The 22,156-nt window shown below is 40.4% G+C and overlaps 1 long non-coding RNA gene across 1 annotated transcript; it reads right to left on the bottom strand.

Annotated features, from left to right (window-relative positions):
• Nucleotides 1–3,352: 3,352 nt before the first annotated feature.
• Nucleotides 3,353–8,010, bottom strand: LOC105372616 (uncharacterized). The gene is made up of 4 exons (XR_936716.3): nt 7,898–8,010; nt 5,023–5,153; nt 4,489–4,542; nt 3,353–3,437 (listed from the first exon to the last, which is right to left on the bottom strand). It is a non-coding gene; the product is annotated as an uncharacterized LOC105372616 (long non-coding RNA).
• Nucleotides 8,011–22,156: the final 14,146 nt, after the last annotated feature.

The following is a 22,156-nucleotide window of genomic DNA, read 5'->3' as shown; positions in this document are numbered from 1 at the left end:
CAATGAGCTATGAGACGTCACTCAGGGAATCTTGGCCTTGCCTAGGAAAGAATATTGAGCTATGAAATGAAAGGGATAGTAAGCCATAGGGAGAAAGTGTCCCCAGGTAAGTAGGAACACAAACTCTGGGATAAGAAAGTGCTTGACAGTGGGTCTGAGTGCAGGGAGTGGTGCTGGGAGAGGGTAAAGAAATACCTACAGGCCAGATCTTGCAGAAACCTCAACTTGTTTCCATGGAGGGATTTTAGGCCAGGAGGAGAGGAGGCAAGCATTTCTATGATTAAAAGCTCACTTGCTGATGTTTAGAAAATGGACTGGACACAGCAGTGTGCAGTTAGAGAGAAGGATGTGTGGGTTGCTCAGGCCAGGGGTGAATGAGATTGGTAGCTGTAGAGATGCAGGTCAGTGAATAAATTGAAGGGAGGTATTTAGAAGGTAGAATGGACAGGATGATTAGAGGCAGGGGAAAATGTTCAGAGGTTGTGCAGTGGGGGCCGCTGGAGAAGATGGAGAAATCAAGCCAGAGGGGAAGACAAGGTAAGATCTCAGAGTATCTCACATGTCATGCTAAGAAGTTTGAACTTTATTCTGTAGGCAACAGGGAGCCATTGAAAGGTTTTAAGACTAGGAGTGATTTGCATATTGGAAAGGTCACTTTGACAGGGTACAGAGGATAGAGAGGAAGAAAGGAGAACCAGGGAGACCCATGAGGAGAGTGTGGTAGTTGTGTAAGTGTGGAATGACGAGTGTCTGAATTAAGGTGGTAGCATAAAAGATGGAGAGAAAGCGGCTAAACATAACTTTATTTTATTTTATTTTATTTTGATGGAGTCTCACTCCGTAGCCCATGCTGGAGTGCACTGGCACAATCTCAGCTCACTGCAACCTGCACCTCTCAGGTTCAAGTGATTCTCCTGCCTCAGCCTCCCAAGTAGCTGAAACTACAGGCACAAGCCATCACACCAGCTAATTTTTATATTTTTAGTAGAGGCGGGATTTTGCCATGTTTGCCAGGCTGGTCTCAAGCTCCTGACCTCTGGTGATCCACCCACCTTGGCCTCCCAAAGTGCTGGGATTACAGGTGTGAGCCACTGTGCTGGGCCAGAATACAACAATTTGAAGACGATGGAATTGCATTCCCTGGGAGAGTGGATTGGACATGGCGGTGCCACCATGAAGTTTGATGGGGAGCCTGGAGAAGGGAGTTTGAGCAGGAATAAATTCACTGATTCAAAAATTATGGACAAGACACTGTGCTAGGCCCTAGAAATATATGTTGCATAAGAAAAATGTTGTCTGCCCTTCTGGAACTTATAGTCTAGTGGAGGAGACAGAAATTAAGTAAACAAACACATTCATTAATCGTGAATTAGAAGAAGTCTGATGAAATAAAGTAATAGACCTGTCATAAAAAATAGCAGCGTATGGAGGTATGTGGCCTATTTTACATAGGGTGGTTGGATAATGCTCCCAGAAGGGGTGATATTTAAGATAATATCTGATGGATGAGAAATAGGAGGGTTAAGTACATTGCAGGAAGAAAGAACAGCAAACACACAGGCATAGAAACTGGAATGTGCTTGACTTATTTGAGAAACAGGAAGATCACTGTGGCTGCAGAAGATTGAATGAGGGGAGGGGGAATATATGAGAGGTGGGCAAGGGTTAGATCACTCAAGGCAGTATCCCTCACACCACGGCATATGGAGAGGTAGTGAGGTGTAATGCTCAATTGCGAAACAAGCAGGTTGGGGTCTCTTGTCTTATACCTAAACAACTTTAATAATTTATTTTATTGGACAATCCCCAGCAGACATTTTATTTGGGGACCCCTGAAAAACAGGTAATGAGCATTATAAATATCATATTGAGTAGATATTGGGGACTCATTTATGAGAAAATCAAGAGTTTAGAAGCTGGGAATTCAGTAGCTCAGAGTCACTGAAAACCTGAGAGAAAAACCTGGGAGTGAAAGCAGACATGTACTCTCTAGGGTAGAAGCCTGTGTCCAGAGATCTGGGACACTGGGGTTTGAGTAGTACCAGCTGAAGCTGGATGCAATAATAATTCACCTGTGTACTGTTTGTATGTTCCTTGCTAGGGCCACACTGCGTTATAGATTCTAGGCTTTATCTGAGTAAAGAAAAAGAGTAAAATGGTTGTGTTGGTATCAGCAGTTTGCATCCAGAAGCAGACATCAAGATAAAGGGTGGGATACAAAATGTTTATTAGAAATCAACACTTATGAAAGAAAAGAGGTTGAGAAGGATAAACAGAGGGAGAAGTCAAACTACTAGAGAGAATTGACAAAGCCAAGCCAATCCAGCAGAGAGCTCTGGAGTGAGTACCAGCCCTGAGAGTGTAACACTGTGGATCCAAATGGTCAAAACTTTATTTTCCAACCTTGCTCAGTTACTGCATGTATCTGCCTTGGCAAAAAGAGGGACCTTAGGCAAGGTGCCTTGCTTCAGGTGAGGCAGGCTCTGAAGAAGCAGACAGCTGGACGCCGTCCACCTCCACTGACTGTATTTTCTGCAGCTGGACAGCAAGCCTTTCCTTAAAGAGGTATGAGTGGGACAATTTTGTGTCTACAGTAAACATCAAAAAGTGGATGATAAAAAACTTTATACAAGCCTTAGTAAGCTCTCTGAGCAATTTCTACATTCTTAAAATGAGGTATTGTAAAACTATATTTAGACACGTATGTGAAAAATCTCTAGCTGGTACTTGTTCCTGTTAGAGAAGCAATAGACTTAGATTATTGAAATCACCTTACAGCCAGTGTAATAAAATATAAAAATGGCCCCCAATGCAAAGTTTAATATTAACTCTTCCAAATTCCTAGTGAAGTATCACAGAGCGCTTCTCCACTAGCAGGGAAAGAGTGTAGTTGAACAAGGACAAGGGTTTTGAGCCTGGTGCTCCTGAGGCTCCTGGGTGCATGGAGGAGATGGAGATGATAGAGAAAAGATGTTAGCTTTTCTTTCCTACATTGGTAAAAGGCTTACTAAGAAAACGGCTTAGTGGTAAGAGAAGATAGTTTTTGCAGCCTTAAGTTCTACAGTTCTAAGTAGGTGACAAGGTCCAAAAGTTAACAAAGATTTTGAGTGCATTCTTCTAGATGGTTAAATGTCAGCTTTCTCAATCTGGGACAAAAACTTACAGTCGGAGTCCCATGAAATCCATCTCTCACTTAGTTATTTTATTCTTACCCTTTGTTAATTTTTTTTTCTAGCAGACCTCACATTTATATGGGCAAAGTCTGTGTGGGTAGATGTTACTGGGAACACCTACCCATATAGACACTTGTAAATTTCACAGGGTCACAGCAAGTCAGCCCCACATTACTCACTGGCATTGATGTGATTCAGGTCTGCACTTTGTTGATTTTACTATCTTGTCAACTTTCCTTCTGATCCTTCTGCCAGGTTGGGTGTCTGGTGTAACAATAGAGGTGGTAAAAATGAGTTGAGTGTGGAACTGTGTGGGTAATGCTAATGGTAATAAAAGGAGGGGATGATTATGAGGGATGTGGGTGTTACGTAATGGAAAACGTTGGAGGAATAGTCATTAATATTTCTGGAAAAATAGATGGGCAGAAGATAGTCTTTGGAGATGCTGGACACTTGCAGAGTCTTGTTAAAAATAATCCATTTTGTTTTTCTTTTCTTCTCACATCCTTAAAGTACAGGGCATGAGTTTGCAATTATTTCTACTGTACAGCTGTTGCAGAGAGTGATTGATATGAGTGACATCTGAACAATGATTTTTATTTAAATTTTTCCTCAGTAAACATATTCAGAATACTTATCAGAAAACTTTTAATGTTGACAAAAAATTCTTTTGAGTTTAAAAGTTAGGGAGAACACAAGCTTAAAGGCAAGAAGACGACAGCAGAAGAAGCAAGCCAAATGGTTTCTTTGGCTATTCTTGTTGCTGTGTGTTTGTTTTGCATACATTCAACATTTATCTAACACTTCATAAAAATAGAAAAATTTAAAAAGTATTAGAAAGTGATATTTCTCTCTAAAGGAGTATAGTATTAAAGAAGATGGTAAAAAAATAACTTCGAAAAGGTTTGAAAGCAGTGTTCCTAAAGTTGACAGCTGCATCTGTGCATGCAGTAGTAGAAGGGTGACATGAAAAACCTGGGTAGGCATTGCAAGTGTCCCTGGGTTATGGTCTTGACTCTTCCTCTGAGATCCAGTAAGCACCTAGAAGAATGTTAAGTGGAAGTGAAGTGAGTAGACCTAGTTCCTTGACAAGCTGAGGGCCTTAGTGAGCATCTCACATTACTTCCCTGACCCGTCTGTAAAATGGGAGTATTGGGCTGCAGGAATCATTTAAGTTCCTTGTAGAGTTATCATCTGTGATTTCATGAGGCAGAATGAGCCTTTGGGGATGTTTTGGAGAGAGACCAAAATAGCGGAAGGAGAAAGGGTTTTGGAGCAGAGAGAACAGAACTATAGAACTTGATTAGAACCTTACCTCTACTTCTCGCTGCGTAACTTGTGTTAAGCTCTTGGATCCTCAATCGCTCATCTTTAAAAGGGATAAAAGCACACATACATGAGAGAGTTGTCCATGAGATGCTACATATACAGCAGTTGGCATGGTGCCTGCAGCATAATGTAATAGTCACTTGATAAATGGTAGTCATGCCCAAAAGGACAGGCACAGCACTATTTTTTCACGATTCCTGCAACTCCTCTGAATAACCCAAATACTATATCAGTCTCTCTCTCAATCTCTCTCTCTCTCTCTTTCTTTCTCTTCCCCCCCTTCATTCTGAATTCTCATGCCTTCACACTGCCTCCTCTTCTATTTTAAAAATGCCATTGTCATGTCTTCCATTTCTCCTCATGTGATAAATTATTTCCGTGGAAGCTAAACATCATATATGTTGGCTAAAGAGGTCATCTTTCTTAGACATTATTCAGTTAAGATAGATATGATAGGAAGAAAAGTAGGAAGAACAATAGATAGATAAAAGATAAAAAGATCATTGGAAAGTAACAATACCCAAAGAGGTAGGAAATCCCAGATGCTAGTATATTCATTGGTAGGAACTTTAAGGTAAAAAATTCTGTTTTCTCCTTGAAAGCGCACGGTGTAGGTAATCCCCCACTGTGTTCTTGAATTGTGTGGTCTTCCTTCAACACAACAGAGATAAACAGAGGATAAAAAATTCAGAAGGTGAAATTCTGGTAGGTACAGAAATAAAAGGGGCCATGTCTGGGGTAATTGAATTCAGAACAGCCCAACAACAGGTTTCTCATGTGGAGCAGCTGAGACCCCTACTACAACTACAGACCAACGAGGTGCTCTTTTTTGTGCTAAGGGCACATAAGGATTCAGAGAGAGTCTTGCTGCCTCTGTCCCAGGTGCCAATATGTGGGCTCATCTCTAACCCTTTCTATGACACCTCTTATTTTGACCTAAACCTTGCAATTGGGCTTCCAAACATGTTTTCTGGTCAGCATTCCACTTTCCCTCTGAGATTCTGGGGCCAGACCTGCTTAACCTCCTCCTGCTTCTCTCTCTGGTTCTTTCTAACTCTTTCCCAGGGAATCTGCATGTGTTTGTTGAGGCCTGAAACCATAGGATGATATCCTGGTGTCATAAATCTTTCCCCTATGCCTATTGAATTGTTCCCCAGCTAACTGCAATTATGTATATCTTCCTATATCCTTCTTGACTTTTCTCTCCCATAGATTTGACCTTCTCTTTCAGTTCATGCAAATCTGAACTAAGACTGAGTTTATTATACTAAGTTTATTATTTCTATTGTAAATTAATACACAGTAAATTACTGGCTATGTTCTTTGGTAAATGAAGATTCTTCAATATTCTGGAGAGGTAGTATATTGACTTGGGGATAGCCTAGGACTATAAAGTTTAGGTTTCGACCCTAATGCAAATATTTATGAAGAGTATGATTTATTCTCTTCTATACAAAGTATGTACATGTAGCTTCACTATACACTTCTCTTGGTTGTGTATTAGTCATTTTCTTTTTGCTAGTTTAATGTTTCCTCATTGGTGGCCATCAAAGATGGGCATTTTAAAAATATTTCTTTTTAAACAGAATCACCTATTGAATGATTTGTCTGTTCAACCTTTTTCTCCTGCCTATTATGCCCCAATTTGTGGTTTAGATCAGCTTCTCATGATGCAGTAATTGTGCCTGGTATTTAAAATGTGAGCCATTCTGTACAAAGCCTATGTCAAGTGCTGAACCTTATAATAATAATGCATTCTCACTGAGGTTAAGTCAGCACTATAAATGTGTTTTCCTCCCCAAGAATCTTGAGCTCATTTTGGGGAATGGAATATAACATATACGGAAGTCTTTTTTTCTCTGTTAAATGGAAAAATTTGTCACCAATGGGAAAAGCATGACCTCCCACCCCTCACTCACACCAGGTTAAACAATTTCAGGACTTTCCATAACAAGTTTGGCTCATGTATCACACAATGTCAAGATCCCGAGGTCCACTGATCACTTTCTTTTACATCATCATCAATCATTTTAGGTTTTAATGCATTCTCTGATGAAATAACTGATTACTTGGCTCAATATTTCTTTTGACTTATATAAACATTTTATTACTTGCTCTTAGCTTATGAGGCTGGCAATTTAGTTTGTGTGTTTGTGTATGGGATGATTCTTGGCATAGATTGATTAAGGGATAATTCAATACTCTGTATCAAGAATATATATTAAGGTACATAGTGTTTGGTATCCAAATCTCATATTTGTACTCCACCAGTTGTGTGACTTGAAGCGAGTAGAAAAATCTTCTGGTCATTTTTTAAAACTGTAATTTAGGGATATTGATATCTGCTTCATAGATATCTTGTCAGGATGGAATGAGTTAATGCACACAAAAAGCCTAGTACAATATCTAGCACATGTTCAATAAATGTGGTATTTTTCTTATGCACTCCCTTCACACCTTTTTTTCTGAGTGAGTGTATTTTGAGTGAATTTTTGTTAGTGGCATTTTCAAATTGTGTTGCACCAAAATTCATTTGAGAGAAGGTTGCTGCTTTCAAAATAGGTAGAAGACTCATTGGACCTTCGAATCATAGTCATCCTTGTTCAGGTGTAGAAGTATTTATAGGAAGACCACTTTATTGATTAGTTTTATGTCTACTAGATAATTAGCCAAGTGTAATATATACATTGTCTTTTTCATACCATTGACTTGTGTTATCCTTAAGCCTGAGAAGACACTATATTCTTTAGGAGAATAATAGGTTAAACTATATTCTAAAACCAGTTTTTCTTGTTTTTAAACTAAAACTTTTATTTACTAAATTATTTTTATTTATTAAAAGTGCCCTTTTAGTCTTATTTAGATGTAGGTTTTGCCATGTAACATACTTGTACACATATAAAAAGGCAAATAATAACACACAGTAAATTGGTTAAGGTGTCTTAAAATTTTAACACTTCAAACTGAATCTTGTTGTATTATTCTTTGACTCAGAGTTTCCATTGTCCGGGTTTTGTCCCCAAACAATATTGTCCTATATAGCCTTTCAAGTGTATTGGTGAAGAATCGTTTTTTTGCAAGAGGGCTCAACTTTTTTCCCTGGGATTTTCCTTCAAGCCCCTGATGCTCACTCTGAAAATTTTGATGGTTATGCACAGGCAATAAAAAGCATATCCATTTGCTGCCTGAATTCCTTGCACATCTACATTTAGAGGTGTTTAAATGTGAAACAACCACACACAACAATTGTGTCTTAAGGTCAGTAAAATACAGTAATGATCAACATAGTTATGTTGAATTAATGGAAGATTGATGATACATCTATTTTGAAGCCTACATCCCAGATTCTTCATAGGATACCAGAATTACATTTACATTTACAGCATCCCAAATACCATGTGTCCAAATGATGGGAGGGCTTGGAAATATCCAGGATTGCGCTTCTTTACACATAATTGAATAGACTTCAGCCTCCTCTCCCGCAGCCCCAAGCAACAGCTAACTCTGTGCTAATAACAGATAATGTGCTCTGACTCCTGGTTGCCAGCAGTCTTCAGTGGCCTCTAGAGAGGGTAGAAGAGAGCAAAATATTTAATTTTGTTTAATATCTGACCTTTAGAGTGAAATATTTTGAAATGCTGGGAAGATATTTACTGGTGAATTTGGACCTTTCACTGAGGACTTTTCTGACATAGGAAAATCCCCTGCAGGAGACATCAAATGAGGGATGCAAATGTCCCCTTGCTTTAGAGGTGGAAGGACTCTGATGGACCTCTCTAGAATAGCAGACATCACAGCAATCAGCAAATGCCTTCATATATTTTTAACATATGTAGCAGTAGCAAAGTTGGGCAAATCACAACGTGCATGTTCTAATAACATTAGAACATTATTACCTAGTAATAATGGCAATGAAAATTACAAGATGGGCCACTATGTGCCAGACACTATACTAATTCCTCTGCACATGTTAATTTACTCTATGCAACATATTTTTGTTATGGGAACTAGCTAAAGATCACACCCAGCTCTCTCAAAACCATTCTACTGATAATAATTCAATTTTATACAACTGATGGTTTTTGATCCACTTTAAAAAATGTAAAGTCAGTAAAACAGCAATACTTAATGACACTGATCCAGGGACAAAACATTTCCTTGTAACGTCTTAAACCTAAATTAATTATTTTCCTTTTTCTTTGCAAATTCCATACTAGTCTTGTTCACCTGCATCTATAGTTGAAATAATGAGATCCGTATTGTAATTTTTCCCATCTTATTATAAGCATACTTTCTTGTTTTCAATTAAAATTTTGGACCAAAAATCCAAAAATGCTTCCTAATGGCATTGACTTGTTGGTCTCTAATTCTTATTGTTGTAAATAAAGTCATTACATTCTTTTCCAGACTCTAGAATCCCAGGGGGCATATTCATTAAAGGTCAACCCTGACAGGAAGTCTTGAGAAATCTGACCTTCTTTTCTATGTCCCCTCATAGCCTAAAATCCCCTTGTCCTACATAATCCCAGCCCTAGTGATGGTGGGGTGCTGAAGGGAAGATTTTGATTATGTTTAACTTCAGTTTTCAAAGTGGTGACTTATCAGAAGACCTATGCTGGTCTTGCTTGAGAAGAGGATATCTGATATTAATTCACATATTTCTTGCCCAAGATTTTGATTGTTTTCTTAATTATTATTGAGCATTTTCACCAAGAATGTTGAATCGTAAAATTTCAAGTCCCACAGTCTGTTGCACCTCTAATTATAAGTAAATGATTTCAACTTCTGCCAGTCCTGGGGCATTGGTTTTATAGATTAGTCAGCAGGCTTATCCATCCCTGACTTCTCCATTTCCTTTTCCAGGAGAAATCACTGGAATTAACACTTCTGAGAGGGGCACTGGCTTCCATGGGGACATGCCCGCTCATTCTTTGTCCTTGAAAACCCCATTCAATGACCTGTCAAAGAGCCTGAGCAGAAAGGGAGCTTTGCAGCAGCTTAATTGAAAGCTCTCCAGTACTCTCTCCATCAAGTAATACATGCTAAGCCATCTCAACCATTAGCAGCTCCTGACCAAACTCCATCTTCTCTCAGAGGTTGTTGGTGAAGTTTTGAACATGTTTTACTCTGTTAGTACAGGGTCCCTTACCCCATATTGACTCCTGATTCCTTAGAAATGATGTGAGATCAGAAGGGAGCTGCTGTTTTGCTTTGATAAATCTGTCTGTCTCTCTTTTTCTTTTGAGTGGCATTACATATATTAGTAATTAAAATTGGAGGTAAGAAACTGATTTGATGACAAATGACTGAAGAAAGAAAAAGAGGTTTTCCTACAAATGCATGTGAGGCAGGATTTTTCACGGCAGGTTATTAAGGTCATGTGCTTTGTTTCTAAATGTTTGGAGTGGTGGAGATTGGATCACATTGGAATAAATGTTATTCTTCAATTGCTAAATTTTTCATGTGTGTGTGTGTGCTGTCTCCATCACAATGCATCTGGATTTTCTGGGTGAATTAATTTTCTTAAAACTGAGGCCATTCGATTACTTGTCCACCATACACTGTCTGGGACTCTTATTGCCTGTGATTCAAGCTCACAGTCTTCTTTCCAGTATTCATGAATTTCCACATATGGCTTCTGGCTTACTCTCTATGTCTCACTGATCATTGTTTCCTTTTACCTTCTTTCCCCTCTCTCTGGCTTCTCATTGACCCTGCTGTACATGCTTTGTCTCAATTTCACATTCCAACCTATGGTTTTTCTGCCTTCTACCCTGCCACTAACTTCTGCTATAAAGTCATGCACATCCTTTTAGGTCATACTTAAACCTCACCTTCTTGTGGAAATCTTGTGTTAAGAAACATTAGCCTCAGAGTAGACAGATTCAGTTCTGCCACTGACTAGTTATATAAGTCATTTAACCTCTGTAAGCTTTGGTTTTCTCATTGGTAAATTAAGAATTATTCCTATCTCATAGAGATGTGAGTTTTAGAGAGATCCTAAAGGAAATCCCAACAGGCATTTGTGCATGCATACAAACACACACACACACACACACACACACACGCACACACATCATTGGGTATGGAGGGAGCCATCATTTAGTAAGCTGAAAGTACCTAAGCAGTGATTGCTCTAGACAGACACTTTGCCTTATGAAGATATAGAAATGCTCAATAACTAATGGATATGATTACTTATATTATTAACTTTTATATATATATTTTTTATTATTATACTTTAAGTTCTAGAGTACAATGTGCACAATGTGCAGGTTTGTTAACTTTTTCTCTTAATCGATTTAGATGCTATTTTGCTTTTCTTTCTTTCAACTATTAGCACCACTTTTTCTGTTTGTATCATTCGTTTTGATGTTTAATGTTATATATCCTTTAACAACTTTTCTCATTCTAAGTGTGTGTGTGGGTGTGTGTGTGTTCATTTGGGTGTGTGTAGCAAACAAAAGTTATGTGGAGGTGGAATTCTTTCTAATCATATTTGCAAGTTCCTACAAATTATGTAGTTAACATGCTATGTTTATTGAATAAAAGGAGAGAATTGGGAAAGGAAATAAGAAAGGAAGAGGAGGAAGGGAGGGTTAGAAAATAATAGCCAATATAGTCTTCTTTGTTTTTCTCCCTTCCTTACAGGGCTCAAAACATGTATTAATAAATATCCCTTCAGCTGCCCAGGAGAAGCCACTTCTTGATAATGAGGTTCTCAACAGGGCTAGGGCCACACTGATAAAAATTCCAAGAATAGCAGTAGAAAGTCAAATTAATACACAGCGTCTGGGCCATCCAGCAATGCAGCCAAGGCCACTAGCAGATGAATAATCAGAAGTATCTGGAATCCCAAGCTGTCCGTCTATCATGGTTAAAGGCCAGGTAGTAGGTGACCACCATCTCTTGGGAGACTTATTTCAAGGTCAGGGCAGAAGACAGAGAGGTTCTAGATGACTTGAACTTGAATGAAGTTCAAATGAAAATAATAGGAGCTCAATAATTTTGGAATTTGATTGGTCCCAGACCACATGCCTAGAATTGAGTGTTAGGATACTTATTAGATCAGTATTATTAGAAGGATATTAAAATATGTTGATTCACAAACCTGGGAACTGCATGTCCAGATTTACAAAGGCAAATATGTCTCAGTCAATCTCTGGCCAGATGTGTTCCATTCATGATGAAGTATCAGTCTGTGTGTGTGTGTGCATGTATATAGTAGGGTCCACTCTAAGACTTTCTCATGTTATTTAATACATGTGGGTACTTATCAACTGAGTGGTCATAGATTGGGGGTGAATGAATCTTTTGTGATAGGAATTGGTGTTCCCAGAAGCAAGAAGCAGATCTAAGAAAAGGCCACATGCAGACAGCGAAGATGGCAATTTAAATAGGTCATATTAAGTGGTTGAGGGTAGAAAATAAGTTAAAGCTATGAGCCACTAGCTGGAAATCATAGCTTTGGGTCCTGAGATTCAGAGACCAAAGCTAAGCTGAGATGAGCTAATGGGAAATACATTTACTTAAAGTCAGATGTGAGTACCAAATGGTTTGAGAGAAGGGAAGGAGCCGAGAGGAGGATATTCAAGTCTAGTTTCAGGTGTCTCTTCTATTGCAGGCTGATGGACTATGGTTCCTGACCTAGAACATCTGAGAAAAGCCAAGATCTATCAGCCATTTATAGCAAGAAGAAATAACACCTTAGTCTTACAAAAAAAATCTCCCTCCATTATACAACCATAGGCAGGACTAAGTTACAGATGTGCAACTCTTAGCCATTTAGTGATAAAATACACTCACACACAAACACAAATACAGACAAAACCCCAAGAAATTAATGTCATTATTAGCTACCTTGTCCAGCGAAGACAATGTCTGTTAGGGAATTTCCAGTTTGTAATGAGCTCAGTACTTTAGCTAATCGTAAAATTGTCCAGTTTACATTAAATTTAACTTTTTTCCCATGTTGTTTTGAGTTTTGACTTACGGAACTTAATATCAAAAATCTCCAGGATTGAAACATAGCTCCATTTGTAAAAATGCACACGGCTGCACCTGTCATCTGGATGAAACTGCATTGGAACTGAAGACAGTGATGATAGAAAGAGAGGAAGTGATGCTAAGGTTAACACATGGGTGACATAGAGCTTGCTCATGCTGTAGGACCTATTTTCAAAGCCTGGGCACTTATTTTAGAAACTGTGAAAGATTTCCTAGAGATTTACCTCAAGAAATCGGTCCTGAGGCAGACGGGGTTCCGAAATGCTTTCTATCATGCCTTATGTAACTCAGGGAAAAAAATATTATTCCCCTGAATTGGGGGTGAGACAGGAGATGGATTTGTACAGTGACTAACTGCTTAAATACTTCAAGACTTGCTGCCTTCCCCCCTCTTCGAAGAACAGGAAATAATAAATCAGAAGAGTAGGGATTTACTTCCATTTCAAGGTGCCAATAGCCAAGCAGGTTAGCTGGCCCCTTGCCTAAGCTTTTGCATGTGGGAGGTGGAGCTGGAAAGAGACAGGCCTCCAGTGCTTCATATGGGATTGAGGGCTCTGAAGTCTGATAATACGAAAGGGAATAATTCTCATTGGAGTTACTTATTTTGTGGAGGTCAATAGACTAGTGCGAAAAGAAGAAAACTAGAGGCTCATATCTCCAGGCCTGTGAGGTGAATCCCCCTTGAAATTAGAATATGTTTTCTAGATTACCTGGGTATCTGGGGAAACATCTCTTACATTAACCTGACTATTACCACAACAGGCGTAAGGTCAGGACATTTGGGAAGGATTCACTGGGGTGCTCTCTGGTATGGAATTCCAACAACGTTTGCATTCCATTAGTTTGTAAGTGAAATTCCATATTTCCTCTATCGGAATTCTATCTTTTACCCTCACTCCCTACCTGCTGCCCCTTACTGAGCCCATCACTGGCTTCTGAGCTACAACATTCCCCTTTCTAAAGACAAGCCCAATCCATTGAGCAAAGTGAATGACTGAACCTGTTAAAAACAAAAGGAACAGTAGGTAAGCAGCTCAAATTATTGAAATACTCTTACCAAGCTGTCACAGGTTCAGCAGAAATAAATCTTTCTGTGTCTATAAGCCAGAGTCCACCCTGTCCCCAGGGAGCTATCAACTCGCCCTGTCCCATTCCAGGGGCCAAATATTTGTGGGGGAAGGGGTGTGAGCAGAATTATGTAAGTGCATAAGGCAATCATCCTTTCCCTGGAGACAGGAAAGTATGGTGTGTTCTTAAGTTCCAAATCCTGGTTTTACAGACTGCCAATCTGGAGTGATTTTGAGCCAAGGCTCTGTGGCTTGAGATGCCTCTCTACTCCATCTTTGGGCCATTTTGTAGAGTGGCGTGCTCATCTGCACATCATTTTTCTTGGAGTTTATCAAAGCCCTTTTCTAAGTCAGGAATGTATCCAGTCCTGACTCCCACTGGCCTACTCAGCTGCTGTTCTCTTGCTCCCCACGATAGCCTTTCGCTGTCAGTATTTCACAATCAGCTTCTCCCAAGCCCAGCTGGATCCTTCTCACCAGGGTATGGGACTTGGCCCACCACCACTATTCTCCTGACTTTGCACATCTGCTCTTTTTTCAATCCACTTGCAAATCTGGGTAAGAGAGGCTTCCCCTGACACCTCCTTCCCAGAACCTGCATCAGCAAGGCTTGACCCTTGTCCTCCTCGGTTGGAGTGCACAGATTGAAAGTTCAAGCCATAAAATCAAATCTCTTAGGCATTAGTGTACCACACACTGATGGATGAGCTTTGGGAAGTCTTCTCATCAATGCTCTGAACCAGCACCTCACCAAGCTAGACTGGAGCCTGAGACAAAAGGAAAAAAAAAATCAGCAATACTGATTGTGTCTTCATTTAAAATTTTGATATTTTATTGTAATACTTTTTCATTCTGATATTTAAAAATCTTGATTACTGAGGTTTTGGTGTCTCCTTTAATTTTGCACCCAAGTCAAGTGTCTTACTTGTTTCATCTAGTTCCAGCACTGCTCTGAAACTTGGTTTATTTATCTATAGAGTGGGAATTAAAATAGTGTATACCTTGTACTTTTTTGAAATACTTAAGGGAAATTGTGTGTCTAAAGTCTAACAGTGTACCTGACCCATTGTAAGCACTCATATCTTGCCTCATTTTATTATTATATGTTAATATGCTGTATTTCCTTAGAATGTTCATCAAGTCCTTCAAGCTCCGTGAGGAAAGAGTTTGGATTACTACTGCTATATCTGTCTGCTGTTGGATATTGTTTTGCACAGAAAAGTTTCTCCATCAAAGCTGTTGTCTATTAATTGTGGAATTAGAACAGATTATACTTAAGATCCATTTCTTCTACTGGTCCCTAGAAATCTGTCTGATTACTTCTGCATCACCCAGCTGACAAATATTTATGTGTAGTATTGCTGTCACCTGTTTTATAACATTTTTTTTAACTTGAGACCTACTTTCAATAGTCACTATGTTTTCTCTGTGCCTTTCTGGTTCATCGTTACCACACATACATGGGATGACCCCTACATCTGGGAAAGAATTCCAGCTCCCAGACTATTCAACCCACTGTGCTGGCAGCATTCCATGAGCTCGTCTTGGGAAATGATAATTGATTACTCTGGGGGGAAAACTCCATCTCAACACCAGCTGGCAGCCAGACCCTGCCCTAGAGCCCCCAAATGAGTCTCCAGTGAAATTCTCGGCAGGGACAGTGTACCCGTGCATGGGGCTGACATTATCTTCATGTCCAAATCGTTGCTAGGTGTGTGTGCTTTCTTAAACATACTCGAGTTTGTCATCAATAAAAGTCTCAGAGTGGTGAATTTTCCAGTGGCTACCCCAGAGAGCCCTGTAGTATTTTTTTCTTGCAGATTTAAGCAAGCAGCATGTTTTTCCATCCAACCCCATTTGAACAAATAAGCCAGGTAATAAAGAAACAACCCTGAAATGCAACAGCCTTGCCCTGGTAGCAGAAAAGAAAGAAAGGACCACCTTGAAGAGACCAGGTTTGAGAAGCAGTGAGGTGAAGGTGGATATTTGTATTCTGGAACAGATGGACACCTTGTTCTCAGGGATGTGTTGACTGTTACCTATTAAGTCCATCAAGGCTACCATCCTAACTACTGGGATTTGAAAAGGAAAACAAAAATGCTGATTATTCACTTCAAATGAAAGTGAGTATTTTTTTTTTTTTTGACAGAGTCTCGCTCGGTTGCCCAGACTGGGGTGCAGTGGTGTGATCTTGGCTCACTGCCACCTCTGCCTCCTGGGTTCAAGCAGTTGTCCCATCTCAGCCTCCCAAATAGCTGGGATTACAGACACACACCACCATGTCTGGCTAATTTGGGTATTTTTAGTAGAGACAGGGTTTCACCATGTTGGCCCAGATTTCACCATATTGGCCGGGAGTCAAACTCCTGACCTCAAGTGATCCACCCGCGTCGGCCTCCCAAGTGCTGGGATTACAGGTGTGAGCCAGTGCACCCAGCCGAAAGTGAGTACAATTTTAAAACATGAATGTGATTTCCATTCTCAGAAGTGGTTTCTGGATGCCAAAAACATATTTTGGAATAAATATGATTTTGCTGAATAAAATTCTTGAGAGTTCTTCCACTATTTACACAGCACATTCATTCACATGAACACATGCCTGGATACTGTCATATCCATCAAGTCATGAGATGCCGAGACCTCACCGTCCACTAGACATGAACAGTGAGGAATAAAGAATAAGAGAATGAATACACTATGTCACCCCTACACAAAACCCTAATTTATGAATATCTCAAATTCTTTAAAACTCAAAAATAAACTTTACCTGTAATATCCAGTAGTTTATTATATCTTGTATATTTGTGATTGTATCAGTTTGAGCTGATATTCCTAGCTCTGTTGATCTGGTCCCCAGTGCAGTAGCACAAAGGAAGAACTCACCTTCAGTGCCACATAAATAGATGTGCGTTCTCTCTCCTTGGTCGTGATTACTGTCAAGGTTGCGTGTGGTTTCTATTTTAGGCCCAAATGGCAGAAAAACTGCTTCTGCAGCCAAGAAGCAGCATTGTAGGATGCCAGTGTATTCTGGTGGAAATTACATTTTAAAAAGGAAAACTTTGACATACATCTGGCAATAGAACCATCCTGAACATATGGCAGCCTGGTAGGTAGGAAGTCGTTGGAACATGGTAACTTGAGCTGAGTGCTGCCCCATCGTGTTCTGGGGTGCATTTGGGAAAGATCCTGCAGTGAGACCATGTCTCTTCCAACCTGGTGTGGCACATTCACTGGGGAGGGAAGCTGGGTGAAACGCTATTCTTGAATGTATGACCTTCTCCTGGCAACCTCTGATCGACTCCAAAAAGCTAGTCTTAGTGGTGCAAGCGGGTGGGAGCAAGATCTCTCCGTGGGAGCCAAACATGTAATCACGACTCAGCCTATACATAAGACACTGGGAAGCTGGAGAAACCCAGGGACTCAGAATCCCAGGATTCTGGTGCTAGAGAAGACAGGCACCCAAAGTCAAAGTCCTGCTAGTGGATGGGGGACACATCTCCATGGTTCAGTTTCTGCTTGATCATGTCTGCTAACAGGAAGTTCAGCACCTCTTGTAAGGATCAAGGAAAAATCAGAGGAAAGAGGAAAGATGTATCTGTCTTCACTGTAAATTCATGAGGTTGTTCCCAGGACCCCAAGAGTTGTATTTATTAGAGGGTAATCCTCTCACCTCCTGGATTTCACACCTCCAGCCACACCACTTTCCACTCCCCCACATCTTATGTGTCTGGTTGTTGGGGCTGCATCACACATAGCAATGTTAGGATCACAATACCCTGAAGGATTGGCACTGCCACCCCTATTCTTCAGACAGGGGCATTAGGGTTCAGTGTATGAGCTTCTTGATCAAGATCACACAAGTGGTAAGTGACACAGTCCGGATGCAAGTCCAGATCTGTGTGACTTCAAAAACTGCTGTTGCTATTAGACATAGACAGTCTCAAAAATGTTTGCTTTTTCTGTATCCCATGGACTGCAGACTAAACTATGAGGATGGTAGTTTCTCACCTCTGATCCTTAAGCTTACTCTGGATGGGGTATGAGCCTTTTAAAGTTTCAGAAACTTGGTCTATGGGCCTTTGTTCTCTTCTGATTAAGTAACTGAACACTTTGTATAGCTTCTTAATGCAGCATGCACTTTCCCTCAGCACAGGCATTCATACATGCTCATGCGTATACTCTTAGCATGTCCTCACCACCTTACAATATATACACGCATGCCTTCACCCATCACCCCATACATGTACTCACTCTCATACTCAGAGATAGATTCCTATCTGCCTCCTTCAGAGCAGTTTTCTGTTCACATCCATAACTGAGGGAATCGTTAACATGTAGATTTAGCAAATACAGGCTGTGTTCCAGAAATCTTCATTTTTGACACAGCATCTAGGTGATTCTGATTAGGTAATCTGGGCACCATTGCTTGGGAAACATTGTCTTGGCTGTGAGATCCTTAAAGAGAAGCGGCGTTTCTTTTTTCTTTTTACTTTTTTTTTTTTTTTTTTTTTTTTTTGAGACGCAGTCTCACTCTGTTGCCCAGGCTGGAGAGCGGTGGCGCGATCTCAACTCACTGCAACATCTGCCTCCAGGTTCAAGTGATTCTCTTGCTTCAGCCTCCCGAGTAGCTGGGACTACAGGCACGTGCCACCATGCCCAGCTAATTTTTTGTATTTTTAGTAGAGATGCTGTTTCACCATGTTAACCAGAATGGTCTCGATCTTTTGACCTTGTGACCTGCCCGCCTCGGCCTGCCAAAGTGCCGGGATTACAGGCATGAGATACCGTGCCCGGCCTGAGGAGCGGTGTTTCTTACGCATTTCTATTTGCCCAGCACTAGTTACAGGCTAGGTGCAGGGTAGACAGATATTTGGCAACGGTGGGTTGAATGAATGCCTCTGTCACCGATTCTTATTCACTCAGGGATGATTATTTCAAGAGAGGAAAAACGTCAAGAGTCCAGAGGCTACCAAGGTCTCACTTGGCCTTCAGGGTCCTGTTGTCTGAACTACTCTTTAAAAAGGACTTTGAAAATTCATGAGGACTCTCATTATTTGCTCCTTGCTCTTGGGCAGACTCTATTCCTAAAAAACACTGAAGGGTTACTTCTACAGTATTAGAGTTTTTCCTTTCTTCCCCATGAAGCTCATCACAAACTGATATCCCTAGGAGATCAAAGACTCTGATGGAAATGGTCTCTGCCACACTACCTGCCCAGCACAAAAGGAATCACTTCTTTCTTTTTTCCTAGGTCTCTCACCACCTTTCATGTCTTCCCCTAATTGATAATGAACCTTGCTTGTTTTTGCTCGTCCATATCAGCTCCAATGCACAGGTCTCGTAATGAGTAGCCCATTGTCCCAGGCTACTTGGGACTTTTGCATTTCTCCAGAACTAGAATTCTCAGCCATCCTGTCCCTGAAGGTATGCCATCTATAAGGTTCTGCAAGTATCAAAGTGAATCTTTAGGTGCACTGCCAGTGATCCATGGCCAGTCAGACATTCACATATTTGCTGGCATCCTCTAAGAGTGAGCTCAACCAAATAAAATACCATCCTGCACTCGTAAGAGACTTTTGTAAAACCTGTTTCTGAATTTCTGATCCTCTATGTTTATGGTACTATCCTGGTTTTCTAGTCTGGCAACTGCACCAAGAAAGGAAATGTGGTTATTGAGGGTACTGAGGGATGGCGTCATCTCGATGACCTCATGCTGGTTCCCTTTTTATTAAGTGTTCATGAGGCTTCATTTCACTTGCCTACTGTCAATTTTTTTTTTTTTTTTGAGGTGGAGTCTCACTCTTGTCGCCCAGGCTGGAGTCCAGTGGCACAATCTCAGCTCACTGCAACCTCCCCCTCCCTGGTTCAAGCGATTCTCCTGCCTCAGTCTCCTGAGTAGCTGGGATTACAGGCGCATGCCACCACACCTGGCTAATTTTTGTACTTTTAGTAGAGATAAGGCTTTGCCATGTTGGCCAGGCTGGTCTCGAATTCCTGACCTCAGGTGATCTGCCCACCTCGGCCTCCCAAAGTGCTGGGATTACAGGCATAAGCCACCACGCTCAGCCTCTCAAATTCTTTTGACAAACTGTGGCAGGCTACTGGACTATGGTAAACAGTCTACCTCTTCTCTTTCCTTACACACCTAGACACCACTTACCTGTTTTCAGCACTCTGTAAGTCCTACTACTGCCCACTGGAGATGTTTCCCCTGATACTCCCAACATGAACAGTGGCATCTAGGCCAGAGTAGATTTTGTGAGCAAACCAATGCTTGGCTATCCTGCCTAACAGCTTTTCAAACTTCAATAGGAACTTCCAATTGTGAGCTAGGAGATCCCCAGGTAGCATGGTGCCCGGGGATGGATATCTTTAGGAAGCCACAGTGTCCCTTCTTTGTTTGGTAGCTACATCAGCTATGCTAGAAGCTGTCCCTAGACCAAGGGGAAAATAATGTTTCCCTGACAGATCCCAAGGAAACATCAGACTCATTTATAAGTGGGGGGAGAGCTTTGTCTATGCATCTGTGGTCTGTTAAGAATAATACTTCTATCTACAGGCGTTCATCCTTATTTTGATGATGATAATAAAACATCCATTATAAATTTCTAGGTAACATAAAGAATGACATTACAGAATGGAAGGAAGAAGGAGGTGGGCATTCGGAAAGGATAAATGTGATAGAAGTAGGTACTTGGAATCAAAAGTGATCATTTGGTCCAGGACACAGTTTAAGTCAAAGGAACTAGTCGCCTTAGAATAAATATTGTATGATCATATTAGTGCAAAAAATATGTATTTCTAGCAACTACATCCCATAAGTTTTTTTGCATATGCTTGAGACATTTCCAGAAGGACAGAGAAGAAAATAATAATTATGGTTACTTTTGGTGAGAGGGACTGAGGATAGAAAAGTACTTTAAAATTTTACCTTTCAAAATTGGTACTCATTGAAGTTTTTACCTTAAAAAACATGTCCCCAAATATTAAGTATTGCATAAATCGAAAAGCAAATGACAATAGTTGCACTTAGGAAATGCAAAACCCTGAAAGTTTTGTACCCAGCAGCTGCATACTGTGGTTCTCGCTTTTCATAGTGAAGTTCAGAGGAAGTCCAGAGGTGTTCTTGTGTATCACAAGCCCTACTGCTCTGGAAGGGGGCCTGGGCCACTATAAGATCAGTCTTTCCGTGCTCATTTCCAAATCCACAAGGTTTAACTGAGTTCATTTAGCTCCCCTGTGTCCAACCACACAGTCTGGATAGGGGTGGTGCTTGGTTTCCCAATAATCAGTACTTCTTCCTTCCCCTCCTGGTACTGGAGGAAATTTAGAAGCATGTATTTTAACTGCTGGGCTTTGACACTCAGGCAGGGTTGCTGGTAGATCAGACTTAGGGTTAACTCAGTGATTCGTACCCCTCCTTTTCATCTATCTTCCAGCCGGGAATCTTTATAAGAAGGAGGATATGTGGAACTCTAGGGGCAGTGGACCCTAAAATTCATGTGCAGAGCAACCACCAGTAAAGTATATTAAATGCTCATTCTCAGGGCCCACCTCTAGAAGTCAGGATACAGCAAATCTTGGGAGGAGTCCAGGAATTTGCATTTTAACAAGTTCGCTAGATGATTTGGATGCAAGAGACTCATGAAAGCACTTATAGAGAAAATCTGTTGGAAGGACTATAGAGAAATAGAACACTATGATGTAAAAAAGGGCTGATGCTACAGGTATTTTCCAAAACTGGGAGAAACAGGAAAAATTGGAACATAATAATAATAAAGACAAACACTTAGCACTTATTGCATGGAAAACTCCATTTTGAATGCTTGACATGTGTTTACTCATTTAACCCCCAGCACTCCCATGACATCTTTACATGCTTTACATGAGGAAATGAAGATGGAAAGTTTAAACAACTTCCCCTAGGTCATCCAGCTACAAAGTGACAAATCAAGAATACAGACTCACATGGTGCAGCTCCAGAATCCACGCTCTTAACCACCATACTCTGGGACAGGAGCTGACAAACCATAACCGCCGGACCAAATCCAGCCTGCTTCCTGTTTCCGTTAGGCTATATTAGCTAAGAATGCTTTTTACATTTCTAATGTAAAATGTAAGAAAGACCGTTTGTCCTTCAGTGAGAACAGTTGTTGAAAGAGTTGAAGACATTAACTCTTATTCCATGAAGCCTGAAATATAGGACTACAGGTTGAGTATCCCTAATTTGAAAATCCAAAATCCAAAATGCTCTGAAATCAAACTTCTTGAGCACCAACATGACACTCAAATGAAACGCTCATTGGAGAATTTTGGATTAGGGATGCTGAATGAGTAAGGATAATGCAAACGTTCCAAAATCTGAAAAAAAATCTGAAATCTAAAACACTTCCAATACCAAGCATTTCTAAAATGGGAACCTAACTCATATCAGATTCTTTACAGAAAGAGTTTGCAGACTTCTGATTGAGTAGAGAATAAACTCAAGGCTTTTGTTTCTCTGAAAGTATTACCGGTTGATTCTAAATCATTTCACTTGGGGGGCTGTGTAGAAACTCATGAGATCAAAAGCCAGCTCAA

The sequence above is a fragment of the Homo sapiens genome, chromosome 20, assembly GCF_000001405.40.
Source record: "Homo sapiens chromosome 20, GRCh38.p14 Primary Assembly".
NCBI classification, from domain to species: Eukaryota; Metazoa; Chordata; class Mammalia; order Primates; family Hominidae; genus Homo; species Homo sapiens.
Note: the sequence above shows the minus strand (reverse complement) of the source record. Positions and strands in the feature narration are given on the sequence as shown.